A 16,621-nucleotide genomic window follows, 5' to 3' on the forward strand; every position below is an offset into this window, starting at 1 on the left:
CAGGATACAAAGAGATGTGTATCCATAAAAATATGTATGTGGAAAGTATACGGAAATAGGAAATAGTTACTGAGTTAGGTGACAGAATAATGAAAGATAACTACTTTTTTTCCAATTTTTTAAAATTTTCGTTTATTATATAAGTTGAATCATTTAAATAAATAGAAATAATTTGTTAGGTTGACCAAGCACCAAACAATTGACAATGTATTACAATATGCCAGGTCATCACTTATCTGTAATTCCTCCTGAATTGTATCCAGGCAAATCAGCCCAGCAGAACACACACTGGGAGAGCTTCCATAGCTGGCAACTTACGGGTGGGGATGAAAGGGAAGTGCTGAGCCTTCCCATTCTATATTCACCTCTAACACATAAACACACATAAGGGATGTGTACTCATAAAGATTTTTTAAAGACTATTGTCTACATGATGCTATCTTGTAAGGGTTTTTTTTTTCTTTTATTGTAATCATTCAGTAATTGGAACCCTGAAATTTAAGCACAAAGTCAAAGTCGCTTTTCTCAGAGGAAGAAAAAGCTAAAATATACCCAGGATAAAGACCCAGAAATAGAGACCAGATAGAGCCTGTCAGAATTGTAGCAATCCGTTTGTATCGCTAAGTAAGCCACAAGGATTTCTAAGAACTCGGTATTTATTAGCATTTAATTTTATTCTGCTAAAACTAATTTTTTCATTTTCATGAATAATCAACATAGTTTTACCAATTCAGATAGCAACAAGGAAAATGGAAAACAAATAAATCACAATTCAAGACCTCCACTACCTGGTCCCCATAAGAATTGCCAGCATGGATGGGGCCTGGTCCCACAATCCCCAGCTATTGAAAGATACCAGGCCCTCGGTCCTCTGGAAGTCTGGAATGGAGAGGCTGAGTGAAAAGAAGAGTTAATGCTTTCTGAGTGTATGATCTAATGGTCCTCTCCCTTAGAGAGCAGTGAGCAACTTAAGAGTTATTGAATAATAAGTAAAGACCCGTCAGAGTAAATCACTTCCACTTCAATGGATGAGCACAGGACTCCGGTATGAACTTGTAAGAGGGTGAGGTACTCACCAGAATGCAATCAATACAGGTAAAGTTAAAATTTATGGTTTTCAGGTCAAATTATTATTCTTCTGGCATGTGACATTAACAAACCACCAACGTAAACACACAGAAGTTCTACTGGAACAGAAGAAAAGCACTGTCATTTGCTGAGTGGCCTTAGACCCATTCCCTAGCCCTTCTGAACCCCATCTGGCCCGCTCACCCATACAATAACTCACTCTCGGAGCTGTTTTAAGACCAGAGTTACCTTCAAGGTGCTACTAAAAATAGCATCTAAAATTTACTCACACCAAAAAAGTCTACTGTCTAGGCAACTGGTTTTTGACATGGAAAGAAGGGCTGGGTTGTGTACCATGCAGACAGACCGAGCAAAGGTAACCTTTCTGGCAAAACTGAAGTAGGCCTGATTTGTTCTAGATTTTATCACCTCCTCTATAAAAGACTACAATGTTCTCCCATTTGGTGCCTGCCCAAACCAAGGCACAGTGCCCTCACGCGGCCCTTCCCTCCTGCATCCCTGCCCTATATTGGGTTACAGACACATTTGAATTACCTGGTGAGTTTTAAACTACCTTCCCCCAGACCCCTTTCCCAGAGGCTGAATTATCTGTTCTGGTGTGGTGCCCGCATAGCTGTGTTTTAAAAGCACCACCCTCCCGCTCCCCACCTCCCTGGGTGATTCTAAATGAGCAGTCAGGGCTGAAAGCCACTGCTCAAGACAAGCCCCTGTAGTTTAGAGAATGCTTAGAACCTGCAATAGGAAACACTGCTTTGAGGTTCCAGCTCATTACTTTCAATGTCTATGGTTTTTTTCTTTTATCTGTGTATTTTATCTTTCTAGCTAGATTGACAGGCATAATTACTTCCATGTCTTCACTTTTCTTCTCTGATCTCTGTTCCCAGTTACTCAGCATATGCTAAATGTGCTAACATGTGTGCGTAGATGTTCATCCTTTTCCACTGCCTGGTTCTGAAGGCTTTTCCCATTCACTTTCATAGAAGGTATGAGTGTGTGGCTGCTGTGTTGTAAGCAAGCAGCTTCTGGCCAAGACTTGAAGGCCTAATGTGGAGATGAGGTGGGCATCTCTATGAGGTGCTGTTGCATGATCTAATTAAACAGAGTAGGAAGAGCAGGTATTAAAACAGCCTATCCCAAAGCTTTCTTAAAAACAAAAACAATTTTGCTACTGTCCAAGTAAAAAGAGAAAAAAATTTTAAAAGAAGTGGAAGATTCATTGTTCAAAGCATAGATTTAGTAACAATGGATGTAGAGTAGTGCTGTAAACACGAATGCTTTAAAGCACTGAGACTTCAGCAGGGGTGAGTAGCAGCCTAAACATAAATCACAACCCAACAGAGCAAACAGAATTCGAGACAACCAATCTCTACTTTGGCCTCTGCCTTGTTTCATGACTTATAAAATGACTCTACTCTTCTCCCCAGAGAGTGAACATAAAATCATGAAGTCAATCACGGTGGCTCACACCTTTAATCCCAACACTTTGGGAGGCCGAGGTGGGTGGATCACGAGGTCAGGAGTTCGAGACCAGCCTGGCCAAGATGGTAAAACCCCATCTCTACTAAAAATACAAAAATTAGCCAGGCACGGTGGTGGGCACCTGTAATCCCAGCTACTCGGGAGGCTGAGGCAGGAGAATTGCTTGAACTTGGGAGGTGGAGGTTGCAGTAAGCCAAGATTGTGCCACTGCACTCTAGCCTGGGCAATAGAGCAAGACTCCGTCTCAAAAATAAATAAATAAATACATACATACATACATAAATAAAATCATGAAACCATTAGAACTAGAAAGACCTCCCATTTCTAAACATCTCACCATCTGTAAAAAAGACCCCTCCTCAGCTATCATGACAGTGGTCATCCAACCTCATCTGGAGAATAGCAGCTCAGGCCACACCACAAGTCCTCCCAATTGTGGACAGCTCTGTCTTAAAATTCTGCCTTACCCTGAGTTGAAAGCTATTATTTCTCCAAATATACATCTCACCTTCCTCTCTGTCTCTTCTCCCCTCCCTCTTATGCCTGTCATCTACAGTGACAACTAAGTCATTAGCCACTTTTAAGTATTTGAAAAAAGTTAGTATATTACCTGATAGCTTTACTTCTCCATACTATCCATGCCCAGTATCCTCAAATTCCTCACATGAAATTTTTTCCCCACTAACTACTCCTGACCAGCCTCCTCTGGAAACACACTAGTTTGGCCATTTTTCTTTTAAAAGCACAATCCCAAAACTGCTCCTTACACTCTTGTTCAATAAATATCTGCTGGATGCCTCATGTGTTCCAGGCACTCAGTTGGGCTCTCAAGACAAAGGAGGAATCTGCCAGGCCTGGCACAGAGTCCAGCTGAGGAAACACTCAAACCAAACCATTAGAAGAGGGTGCAAGGTGAGCTCTGAAAAAGAAAGCACCAGCTGCCTGGGAGCACGGAACAGGTTTGCTGGGAACACTCTGGGAGACAGGTCCAGCCTCGGTCCACTGAACTCCAACCTGGTGACACCAATGCACACTGTTCAGCTCTTCAGAGCATTCTCTGCAGTAGTGATCATTTCTTTAGGTAGTCCTCATTAGAGGACTAATGAAAGGGTATCACTCATTCATAGAGAGACATGCAGATTATTCACAAATGATCTACAAGTGGGTGTCTGAAGATACACCAACTTATACATGTTGTGTACCCGTTAAACCCTCAGACTCCCAGCTGAAGAAAGGGAAAGTTGACAACATAAGGGAGAAGAGGGTAGGGAAAGTGAGAGCAAGCGCCTACAGCAGCTTAAGTTTCCAGCTACTATCTCAAACAAAAATCAGAGACTCCAGACCAAAAAGCCATACTATTAATAACTGTAAGGTTGCAATATTTTAGTATTGAATTCTCCTTCTAGTTAAATCTTTCTAATATTTTCCTAGGAAAAAAATCCTGAAGGTTGAATTACTTAATAAGTAAATGTTAGAAATATGATATTTTATCTTTTGAAACTACTAAAACTACATACTAATTTTTACTCCTACCACAAGAATATGTCAATGCCTCTCCCATACCTCTGCTGATACTCCTTCATATTATTTAAAAAACAAAACAAAAACAAAATATGCCAATTTGATTGACAGAGAAGTGCCTCATTTTTTAGCTTGCATTTCTCTGATATTAAAGAGGTTGAGGCCAGGTGCAGTGGCTTACGTCTACAATCCCAGCACGTTGTGGGGCCAAGGCAGGCGGACCACTTGAGCACAGGAATTCAAGACCAGCCTGGGCAACATGGCAAAACCTCATCGCTACAAAAAATACAAAAATTAGCTGGGTGTGGTGGCACACGCCTGTGGTCCCAGCTCCTCGGGACGATGAGGCAGAAGGATCGCTTGAGCCCAGGAGATCAAGGCTTCAGTGACCTATGATTGTGCCACTGCACTACAGCCTGGGCAACAGAGTGAGACCTTGTCTCAACAAAAATAAGTAAACAAATAAAGAGGTTGAACATTTTTAATATATTTATTCATCATTTGTATTGTTTTTGTAAATTACCTCTTTATATGTCTTCTGACCAATTTTCCCCCTTAAGTATTCACTTTTCTTATTTATTTATAAAAGCTCTTCAAATGTTAATATTCTTTTGTCACATGTTGCAAACATTTTTCCAGCTTACCCTTTCAACTTTAAATATGGCAATTTTTTTATATACAGGAGGTTGGTTTTCTTTTTTCTCATGTCATCAAGCAATTCAACTTTTCTTTTATAGTTTCACCCTATGGCACCATGTTTAGAAAAACTTTCCTAAGCTCAACATTCTATAAGTTTCCCATATTTTATTCTGGCACCTTTATGGTTTTATGTTTATGGTTTTATGTTTCACATTTAAATGCTTGATTCATTTGGAATTTATTCTGACATGAAGTCAGAATTGAACTTATGTTGTTCCAAATGGTTAGCCACCTGTCCTGGCACCATTTATTGAATGAATTTGTCTTTCCTCCACTGATCACGGCTGCCTTTATCATATACTGCATCTCTACTCATGTGTCTGTCTCATAGGGACCTCAAACTCAGCATACCCACACCTGAAATTCATGATCTTCCCCTCTTCTCCAGTGTCCTCCAACTCTGTGAATGGCTACCTCATCAATAATGTTTATTTGTCCTTTGTTTTTTGGTTCTTTTCAGAAATGAGGTTTTGCTATGTTGCTCAGGCTGGGGTGCAGTGGCTATTCACAGTTGTAATCACAGTTCTCTGCAGCCTTCAACTCCTGGCCTCAAGCGATTCCCATTGCCTCAGCCTCCTGAGTACCCAGAACTATAGACACGTGCCCCCACACCCAGCCATCCACTAAGTTTTAATGTCCAGAACCTGATTATGCCTGACCCCGCCCCTCTCCATCACCACAACCCTCCCCCTCTACACATACACATCAAATCACTAAACTTTCTCAGTTCTGTCTCTAAAACATAGTTCTCATTCATAACTTTCTGCCCAACTCTATCACCATGCCTATAATCCAAGCACCATCTTATCTTTCCTGGACCCTGTCTCTACAAAAAATACAAAATACAAAACCCCGTCTCTACAAAAAATACAAAAATTAGCTGGGCGTGGTAGCACACGCCTGTGGTCCCAGCTACTCAGGACAATGAGGCAGAAGGATCACTTGAGCCCAGGAGATCAAGGCTTCAGTGAGCTATGATTGTGTCACTGCACTACAGCCTGGGCAACAGCTTCTTCCCTGGGCCACCAAACCTACTCTTGGCCCCTCCAGCACATGAAACGGATATAGGATCACACCATGTCCCAACTTTCAACCTCTGCTGGTTTCCACTGCTCTTGGGAAAAAGTCCAGATTTATTTATGTTACACATAAGACTGTGAGCTCAGCCCCTGCCACCACTGCCTCATGCCACTCCTGCTCTCACACAATTTCCAGACACACTAGCCACCTTTTCATTCCTTGAAAGCACCCAGCTGCTGTTCATCTCAGGCCGTTTACATATGATGTTCCTTCTCTAGTCCACGCTATTCTACTCACTGTCCCACCCTTGTTGCCCACACCTACATACATGCCTGCCTTACTTGGGCTTATCTTTCAGAATGCTGCTTAAATATGACCTCCTTGGCCAGGCGCAGTGCCTCACACCTGTAATCCCGGCACCCTGGGAAGCCGAGGCAGGTGGATCACCTGAGGTCAGGAGTTCAAGACCAGCCTGGCCAACATGGTGAAAGACCATCTCTAATAAAAATACAAAAATTAGCCAGGTGTGGTGCCGCACACCTGTAATTTCAGCTACTTGAGGGCTGAGGTAAGAGAATCACTTGAACTTGGGAGGCGGAGACTACAGTGAGCTGAGAGCACACTACTGCACTCCAGCCTGGGCAACTGAGCAACACTCCATCTTAAAAAAAAAAAAAAAAAAAAAAAAAAAAAACCAGTAAATGTCACCTCCTTGAAGAAGGCTTCCAGAACCACCTCTTCATCACTACCACCACCATGTTCATTTCCCCTGCAAAAAAATTCCTCACTGCACTTTGCACTTTACAGTGGCACCCCTCACAAGTGCTGAGATTTTATAAATGTTTACCTGCAATATCTCCCTCAGGTGGCAGCTCTGGTAGCTCAGGGCTGTGCCCAATGTGTTCACCACCAACCCTTAAGCCCCTCACAAAAAGCCTGGCACACTGTTCAAGGCATATGTGTTTAACCACACAGTCCTAAGTCAATGGAATTACCCTTCTGCCTGAATTCTAATTATTACAAGTATACTCTCCTCCTAAGGTGTCTAACAACAGAAAAGTGGCTGAAAATAACATCGCAGTTTCCACTTGCACAGCCCATTACTATTTCTGATCCTACTTACTCTTAAATACATTTACAAATTTAAATTTTTTGCTCAGAAAGCACTCCTAAGATCCACAGATCCTGGAGTCCATGCTTGGCTATCTGCTAACAGCATTCTGACATTCATTCATTCTTTTATTCACTCATCCAGCAGATATTTATTGACCACCACTGGTCCACAGCTGAGCCTCACAACTGAAACTGTATTTTTCTTCTTCTCCCTCTATATGACTGTATCTCCCAAACCAACTCTATTTACCAATTATTCATCTACTTTTCCCATGAGATAGCTGCTGTATCACCACCCAGGATCTATACAAATCCAATTAAAAGCAAACAAACATTAGGTTTTAGTAATCTGTGCTGCCTCATCATGATCAGTATCATCAAATCCAGCCACCTAGCACCCTGTACCCCACCCTGAGCTTTAAGGGGTCAGTAGAGAGATCAAGAGAAGAAACTCAGGCCCAGCTTTAACCCACTCGCCCCCCCCCACCCACAAGGGGTTGCCCCCTTAACATTCCTGAATAGCTCTGAGCTCTGGGAAGAAAGCTGCTTTCCAGAAGCATCAAAATGCAATCTTGTGTTGGTGCTCGGAGAAGCTTGAGAGCCACAGGATAAGGTGTATAAAACCACAGAAAGGGTTTGACAACAACCCAAGGCACACTCCCCAGAGGGTAGCTCTTCTACATGTGTTAACCTACTCATCCCCCTCCCCCTGCCTATTTCCTACAAGAGTCCAGCCTTGTCTTTGGATTCTGAGCTCACTGAAGCCAGTTCTCTCTTTCTCAGCATGCCAGAGCTATAAGAGGGCCGCAATGTGGCACCTGCCTTTCCAAGGTTTTTGACCTACACTGCAAGGCATAATTGCACCCATATTTTCTTTACCTTTCCCTCAACACATGCCTGTCTCTGAGTTTCCCTGACTCTGCTATAGTCATCTGCTCCCTGAAGAGCATCAACACTGCTTCATGGTATAGGCTTCCCAATCTGGAGGGATGGAACCCCAAAGGCATTTCTGGGTAAGAGCAACCTACAGATTTTCTATGACTAATCACAAAAGCTTAACCCTGCTGTTCTCTGAGAATATTTTCACCTTCCATGAACTAAGTGATCACCCAAATAGCTATATACTTGGAAAACAAAGTTGCTTGATTGTTTTATTCTACAGCAAAATTCAATCATTCTGAAAAGCAAAACCACACTGTCATTATACATGCTTAGGAAGGTGACATGAAGCAGCAAATGATTCATTTTTACTGCCTTTGAAGGGACGCACTACTTTGCAACTCCCTACTCTTTATTACATAGTCAAGGTCACACTGATGTTTACTAAAATAACTAAAAAGTCTGGTTCTTAAAAATGTGTTGATCCAATGTCAACAAAGACTGAAAAATAATGACTCCGCAAGCCATTTTCTGACTCAATAAAATGCTGTAGCCTGGAAAAAAAGAAAAGTATATTACATTTTTTATTAATCAAGTGAAGTTTGCTGGAAATCAGATTTTTTTTTTCACTTCCACTTACAAATTCCATTTACCACTTCGCTCTTTCAGAAGCAGCCCCCAAAAAGAGATCATTTCTCCTTAAGCATTTCATCCTAGAGGCTGGGCAGCAAGCCTCCCGATGAAGGGCACAGCTTCAACTCACAAGGCTCAGGATCTCTAAATCAGTGATAATGCTCCACATTTAAATCTGTACTCTGCTTCCAGGGGCAACCTAATCAAACGTACTTAAAAATTACTTTGAAGACCACATTTTAACTTGCCAGTGGAAGTCGTGGCAATTTTAGAAAATGTTCTAAAGAAATCATCCTGACATAACTTAACTTCTGTATTTAAAGCACAATTCTTAAGAAACCAAGGTAGTAGTCAGGTCAGAAAACAGCAGGGGCCTTAGGTCTGACAGCCTGGATTTGAGTCTGGGCTTCACTTGTTAGTGGTTGTGTGATTGTTGGCAAGTCATTCAACCTTTCTGTGCCTCGTTTTTCTTATCTGTCAAATGGGTGGTGTTCCTTTCACTTTGTACTAGAGTCTATCTTCCATTCATATTTTGTATCTCATGGCCACAGCTGGGGATCTCTGTGTTAACATGGGACACAACTATACAATTCTTATTTTCATTGTCTTATTTTGCATCCACTTCAAGGTCATACCTGTAATCTATGTAGGCCTGATAACAGAAATACTAAAAAGGCAAAAGACAAAGCAGGGTTTTGTCTGATAAATCTTCTATCAGTTTTCCTGGCACCAAGGGTGATACACAGCACACAGAATCACATGGTATAGAATATTTAAAAATAGGGCTGGGCGCGGTGGCTCACGCCTGTAATCCCAGCACTTTGGGAGGCCGAGGCGGGTGGATCACGAGGTCAGGAAATCGAGACCATCCTGGCTAACACGGTGAAAGCCCGTCTCTACTAAAAATACAAAAAAATTAGCTGGGCATGGTGGTGGGCGCCTTTAGTCCCAGCTACTCGGGAGGCTGAGGCAGGAGAATGGCGTGAACCCGGGAGGCGGAGCTTGCAGTGAGCCAAGACGGCGCCACTGCACTCCAGCCTGGGCGACAGAGCAAGACTCCGTCTCAAACACACACACACACACACACACACACACACACACACACACACACACAAAATAGAAGAAATGGAAAATATATATGTACAAATATGTATATATAGATGATTCAAAATTATGCATAAAAATATTGGAAACATATGCACCAAAATGGTAACAGTTGTTAGCAATGGGTTAGAAGATTACAGCAACAAGAAGTGAGAGAGGGATGGGAAAATATATTTTTTAAAAATTGCAGTGACTTATTTTCCTTCCTTATGCTTTTCTGAGCCTTCCCAAATTTCTACAATAAATTCTAAAATCAGAAAAATGATTTTTGTTATAAAGACATTTTTCCCAGAAAACAATGTTTCCAATGAAGTTGTGTTACATACAAAATCAGTGACAGTGATTATGAGAATAACTATTTATTTAGCACTTCCTATGGGTCAGGCCCTGCAGTAAGTACTTTACAGAAAGCATTTCATTTAGTCCCCACCCACTGTGATGTAGGTATTGTTCTGAACCTCATTTTGCAAATGAACAACTCAAGTTATTTGTGTGAAATCAAAGAGCTGGTAAGCGGTGATGCCCCAGATGTGAACCCGGGATCTGACTCCAGGATTCCCACACCCATATGCCAGCCACTAGGCTTCCTGCCTCTAGCCACGCTGGTTCCCAAAAACCTCACCTCTCTGTTTTTGATTTTCATGTCTTCTTTGCTCTTTATTGACTCTCATTCTTTTTTGGGAGTGTTCAGAAATAAACAGTGTATGTATTTCTGGCATGTGGAGGCATCAGGCAACCATTACACATAGTTATCTGCTATGAACACACACACCTTCCCCAAGGGGGACATAAGAACATGAGGATTAAAAAGCAAACCCGGCCGGGCGCGGTGGCTCACGCCTGTAATCCCAGCACTTTGGGAGGCCGAGGCAGGCGGATCACGAGGTCGAGAGATCGAGACCATCCTGGCTAACACGGTGAAACCCCGTCTCTACTAAAAATACAAAAAAAATTAGCCAGACATGGTGGCGGGCGCCTGTAGTCCCAGCTACTTACGAGGGTGAGACAGGAGAATGGCGTGATCCCGCGAAGCGGAGCTTGCAGTGAGCCGAGATTGCACCACTGCACTCTAGCCTGGGCGACAGAGCGAGACTCCGTCTCAAAAAAAAAAAAAAAAAAAAAAAAGCAAACCCTCCAACTGTCAGCTCTCACAGCACCACAAACCTCTCCTTCCAGATGCTGGTCACGCCTGCCCTCCACATTTGCCTGCTGTTTGATTACTTCTACATGCCGACCACTTTTCAGAGCACTTTGCATGCATTACTTTTCTTCTCACCATTACTGTTCCTACTTTACACAAGGAAATTCAGGCCCAGAGAAGTCAAGAGGCTTGCCCAAGGCCTTAGAGCTGGGGTTTGAGTTCTGGAGTTATCATTCTCAAGTCAATGAAGAACGAAGGTACACCTCTCCATTTTCTAAAAAAATGTTTCTCCTATTAGGATTGCTTCATTTTATTTCTGTAGGTCCTGAATATTTCGTATAAATCATACTCCTAATATTTTTAAATTATATTTTCCAACTGGTTATTTGAGATACTCAAGAAAACTTGTTTACATGTTAGCTTTGTATCCTTCGTAAACTTACTGAATTCTCTCATTAACTGTAATAATTTTAGTTGATTCTCCATTATATCAGCTACATAATCTCCTAATTTCTATAAATACTAATTTTGTCTCCTCCTTTCCAATACAAAGATATATTTCTTTCATGTTGTACAACTACATTGTCAGAACCCTCCCAAAACTACATTAAATAATAGCAAGAGCAGGCATCTTTGTTTGGTATTTTATTTAACTGGGGATGCTCCTAGTGACTCAACACTAAGTATGACACCAGTTGTTGGCTTAATATAATACCCTTCCATCGGGTTCAGGAACTAGTCTTTGAGTCCTATTTTACTAAGAGTGTTTATCAGGAATGAATACTAAACTTCATCATCAAATGTCTTCCCAGTACTGAGATAATTATGACTGTCCTCCTAGCAATTCATGATAAATATTATTAATGTATTTTATATCATAAAATCATATTTTCTATTCTAACTCTACCTGATTTGACTGCAGAGTATTTTTCAGATATGAAAATAAAAATTAGCTCATTTTGTTTAACTGTTTTATGTAGTTTGAATTTCATTTATTTTAGTTTGAATTAAGTTACAATTTTTAAAACTATATCCATAGCTATTCACTATGCCTGTCTCCTGTCTCTCTTTACCACCTCCCACCAGGCCTAATTCATCCCCCACAACATCAACAGAGCCGCTTTTCTAGATCACACATGCGGCTCCTTCTCTCTTATTCTCAGCAATCTGCAACATCACCATGTTTCTGTATTATAAAGTATACATCTTTTAGCATGATAATTACTGTCCTTTATAAGATGGCCCCAAACTATCTTTTAATCTTCATTTCAACCATGATTCCCAAATGCCACTCACTTGGGATTCTTTTTCTCATGATTTTCCCAAAAAGTCCTTATTTTCTTCACTGGGACAACTCTTTTCTTTCTTGGGCCAACACACTGCCGCCTCATCTACGGCCCTCCCCAGTCCCCCCTGCTATTTCATCCCAGAGCACCAAGTACACGTCTCTGTCGTGGGACTTGCCCCAGCCTGACTTGTGCAGATCCTCATTTGGAGCAGAGGTCCGCAAACTTCTGTGAAGAGTCAGATGGTGAATATTTCAGGCTCTCCAGGCCTCATGGGCACATTTCTGTTGCATTTTTTCCCTACACTTTAATAAAGTAAAAACCATTATTAGCTCACAGGCTATATGAAAACAGGCCACCAGGGATCAGCAGTACTTTGCCTCTCCTGGTTTACAGCCTCATCACCCCCTGGACTATAAGCTAGTTGAGAGAGGGGAAAATCTCTAACCCATCTTCATATTCCTCAGCTCCTGGCACTTGGGAAATGTTCAAATCACTGAAGTTGATTGACCAGGAACATTGATAACTAATGTATCCTGATGAGTCAGATATACAACCATGGACAATTATTTCCCCAAATCTTGAGCTATTTCAACAAAAAGTAATTTTGGATTTTGAGTCTCTTAGGCATCTGGGCATCAAAAATGAGCCACATCCGTGGGGATGGCAGGGAGGTAGTTTGAATTTCACTTATTCAATAAATGAAATGAGGCTTTTTGCCTCATTTAGTAAGACAAATTATGATATTCAGCCAAAGAGCCTCTCCCTCCCCAAATATAGAAAAAGTGCTTCTCTTATCACAGAGTTCACAACTACACTGCTCCCTGGGCCTCACAGAATATAACGCCAGCTAACTCCAACTTTTCAACTAGCCTGCTCAGCTTCTCATCCCAGAAAATCCAGACTTTTAATGCTGTTTTGAATACTTATCATGTATCCAGCCTAGCTATCAGTGATTCCTTTTTCTTCTATCTCCTGAAAACTGGGGAGAAAGCATTGTCTAAATCGCTAAACGCGAGAGAAACAATTGTCAGTTACCATTATTATTGCTATCACCCTGCTCTCTGATTTTCCCAACCAGAAATGTCCCGAAAGGTGAAGGTCGCCCCTCTCTGGTTAAAAAAGCAACACTGTTAAAGATGTGTGGTGCTTATAGCATAATTTCTGTCATAATTCCAGGGGCTCAATTCCTTGCTTACTGAGGCTCACAACAGCATGAGCCGGTGAGGAAGGGGAAGAAGCCAGGAACAGACATAGCCATTGTTAAGGAGAAATGGCCCAGTTGTGAGCCTGGTTTCTGAGGCCAAGAGTCCAGCATTAAGTTTCCAAAGGAATGAGGCAAACTTGAGGTTAATTCCATTCACATCTACATCAAGCAGGTCTACCTGGTCCCAGTGGAGCAAAACAACAGAAGGCCTAGACAATGTCAATTCTGCAGGCCAGACAGAGCTTTTGAAGGAGTCCAGCCAGTATCAAGCCCCCACCCCCAGAACATAACTCCCGTAATGAAGCTAGCCAAGAGCTGGATGTGGTACTGGGATCTGCCCTCTGCAAGCTGGGGTTCAAGGAAGGACCTCAGGTCTAGCAACTGTCTGAAATGTAGAGCAGAAAGATGCAGTCAGAGTGGGTCACTCTGCAAGGGACAGGTTATATCCAGAACGGCCTCTACCCAGCATGGCTTCCAGTTCCTAAGGCACGAGGTGGTCTTCAACAAAACAAATTCTAAACTCTACTTCCTAGCAGAGGTGAGGTACTTAATGTGCTCTAGAATGAGGATGAGGGTGAATCTGGAAATTACTGCAGATGAGGGAGAGCCAGTGAAAACCCACCTTCTGCAGAAAAAACTAGTAGCCCTCAAAAGGACCTGGTCAGATGACCTAGTCACATGGAGGACTTGGCTCCCTGTACATTAGCTATCCCCCAGGAGAAGCCATTATTTCACACATAGAAGGTCCTGAATTCAATATCTGTTTATGAATTGTCATCGCTATGAATCAAGCTCTGCCCAGTAAAGAACCACATCAGCCCAGGCCCCCTCAACCGGTCAGGGGAGCAAGAGTACATCATTCTATTCCCAGCCATCCTCACCAGCCCGCGGGTACACACTGCTCTCTGTGCTTCTCTTTTAGTGGTTTCCCAAACAAAATTATATCATTGTGTGTGACAAATACAAAATCACACTACTAAATGTGCTAGTAATAAGAGGACTAAGAATATGACCAGGAATAAGAGGGGTGAGAAAATGACAAATGTTCCACATATACAGGGAATGGATCAGAATCAGTGCTGTCAGCAGGCCTCTCAAACTCTTGACGTCAATGGGCACACAGTTGAACCTCTGAGCAGCGTGTTCCTAAAGCAGCCTGTGACCCTGACCTGTTTATAAACCAAAGTGCTTCCTTGCTCAAAATCCCTGTTTTCTTACAGCACATTCAGAAGTGCCAGCATCACTTGCAGCCAGGTGGTGAGGCTGAAGCATGTTCCATACTCTCTTCACACGGGCTCACCATGCTAAAAACAGTCAAGTACCAGTGATTAAGTAGAAAGACACATGCTTTTGAAAATTAGAGGATTTGGTTAAATGTGGGGACTGCAATCTACACATGGAAGCAAAGAAATCAACCAAAATTAAAACATAAATTAGTGAACCAACAGTGTTTTACTAATCATGCAAAAGGAAAGAATAGCAAATATAGAAATAGAAGGTGTGGTACATTACCCAAAAGCCCTGCTAAAGACCGCATGTCCTTCTCCATCAGCATGTAAATCTCTTCCTCGGAGAAGCGGCCAATGCCGTGGCCGTGCATCTCGCGTTTCACAATTCCTTTCGTTATGTGGCACACAACCCACCTCAGCAGGTTGCTGAAGGGACCACCACCACTAAGAGAGAGCATCTTCCGGGTCTCATTGAGATTGTCCACCCACTGGCAATAAGCTAATGTCCTGGAATTGTGTGGAAACAAGTTACTACTGTGCATCAGGTACATATCAGCTCCACAGGGTCACTTTAGAATGAGTCGTTCAGAATTTACTACACTCTGGAGGAACTGAATAACTGCAGCTTTAATAAAGAGCAATCTGCATGGCAGCTATCACAACAGGCTCTAGTCAATGCCTAGACTTAAGGGATTGTGGAAGAAATGGGAAAAAATCCAGATAAAGATGCCATCAAACCTTTCCTGGTACCCACCCTCAGACCTCTCCCCTCCCCTCCCAGTGCCACGTTTCTGCCTTCTCTCACACAACCCCACAGAAAACAAGTAGAAACCCACTGGAAAAGTCTTTGAGTCAGAAGAGTGAGCACCCATGGGGGCACAGGGCAGGAGGCAGTAGTGACTGGGGTGTTGGCATCATTCTCTTTCCTGAGCAAAATGATGGTTCCACAGGTTTATGCTTGGTGTTCATTAATTAAGCTGCACATTTGTTTTGTATACTCTGTATATGCATTTTACATTTCATGACATAAAAGAGTTAAAAAAAAAAAGAAAAATTTCTGAAAGAAACCTTTTTCCCTTTTTAAAAAAAGATACAGGGTCTTGCTATGTTGCCCAAGCTGGACTCTATAACTCCTGGGCTCAAGTGATTCCCCCACGTCAGCCTCCAGAGTAGCTGTGACTACAGGCATGCACCACCACACCTAGCCTTTTTGCTTTTTTGATAGCGCATTAGGGAGTAAGTGCACCTGTCCATCTTTATTATAAATTAAAATATTATGTAAATGATTTGCTCTCCAAGAAAATCAACTCTTTACCTCAGTTTGTTCTCAAGAACTCTAAAGGGAACACAACTGCCAATGGAACTTGGCTGAATCCTTTTTCCCGTCTAGGTGATCCTAGTGGTAAACTTGCTCATTCGGGTGCTCCTGAAAACAGTATAATCCGTATGGCGAGGCCAGCAGCTATTCACTGTTCCAACATTTTGCTGGCCACCGTACCCAGGTCTTTGCTGATTTTATTCCCCAAATGGCAAGAATTTTTTTTATGGCTAATAGTGCTGGTAGATAGAAATTCAAAGGGTTTTCTACCAAAGGCTGAAGAGAATGCAGCTGTGTGCGAGTACAGGCATAAGACATTTTCATTTTTCCTCCCTAATGAGTAATAAAAGATGTATTGGCAATCACCTCTACTCTTAGTGCTGGCTGATATAGCAGTAATGGCCACTTCAAAAAATTCAGAAGCCAGGTGTGGTGGTACATGCCTGTAGTCCCAGCTACTCGAGAGGGCAAGGCAGGAGGATCGCTTGGGCCCAAGAGTTTGAGGCCAACCTGGGCAACACATAGTGGGACCACTGTATCAATCAATAAATAAAAACTCAGAAATAAAAAGAAATTCATGGAATTGGAAAGTGTCAGAGCCAGAATGCTGCAATTTTTAAGGTTTGTTTTTTTTTTTAAATCAAAGGGGTGAAAAATATTTTGAGAGAGAACTCAAGGAATGACAGTAAATCACAGCTACAATGAAATGCTGTTTTCCACCTCAAGGGGGAAAAAAAGGCATTTTGATCATTGTATATAGTTCTGTTCTTTAAGGGTTCTCTGTTCTAAAAACAAATAAAAATAAGAAATAGATTTCTCTAAAATTGCTGGATTCCTGATTTTCACCAAAAAGTCTTACAGCCAATTTCAACATACTCCCTGTGCTGTAGCTATAGCTGTTCT

The 16,621-nt window shown here is 42.1% G+C and overlaps 1 protein-coding gene across 9 annotated transcripts in view; it reads right to left on the reverse strand.

Moving 5' to 3' along the window:
* The window catches only part of FAXC (failed axon connections homolog, metaxin like GST domain containing), a 78,896-nt gene that overhangs the window by 37,600 nt on the left and 24,675 nt on the right, over window positions 1-16,621 (reverse strand). For 6 of the 9 annotated variants that reach the window (NM_001346533.1, NM_001346532.1, XM_006715582.3 and 3 more), the window contains one exon: window positions 14,684-14,907. The exons of 2 other annotated variants lie outside the window; for them this stretch is intronic. In NM_001346533.1, the coding sequence (NP_001333462.1) occupies window positions 14,684-14,907 (224 nt within the window). Of the gene's footprint in view, window positions 1-14,683; window positions 14,908-16,621 lie in introns of those variants that run through there. One more of the 9 variants, XM_011536189.4, reaches the window with a different exon arrangement.

Source organism: Homo sapiens, chromosome 6 (genome assembly GCF_000001405.40).
Source record: "Homo sapiens chromosome 6, GRCh38.p14 Primary Assembly".
In the NCBI taxonomy this organism is placed as follows: Eukaryota; Metazoa; Chordata; class Mammalia; order Primates; family Hominidae; genus Homo; species Homo sapiens.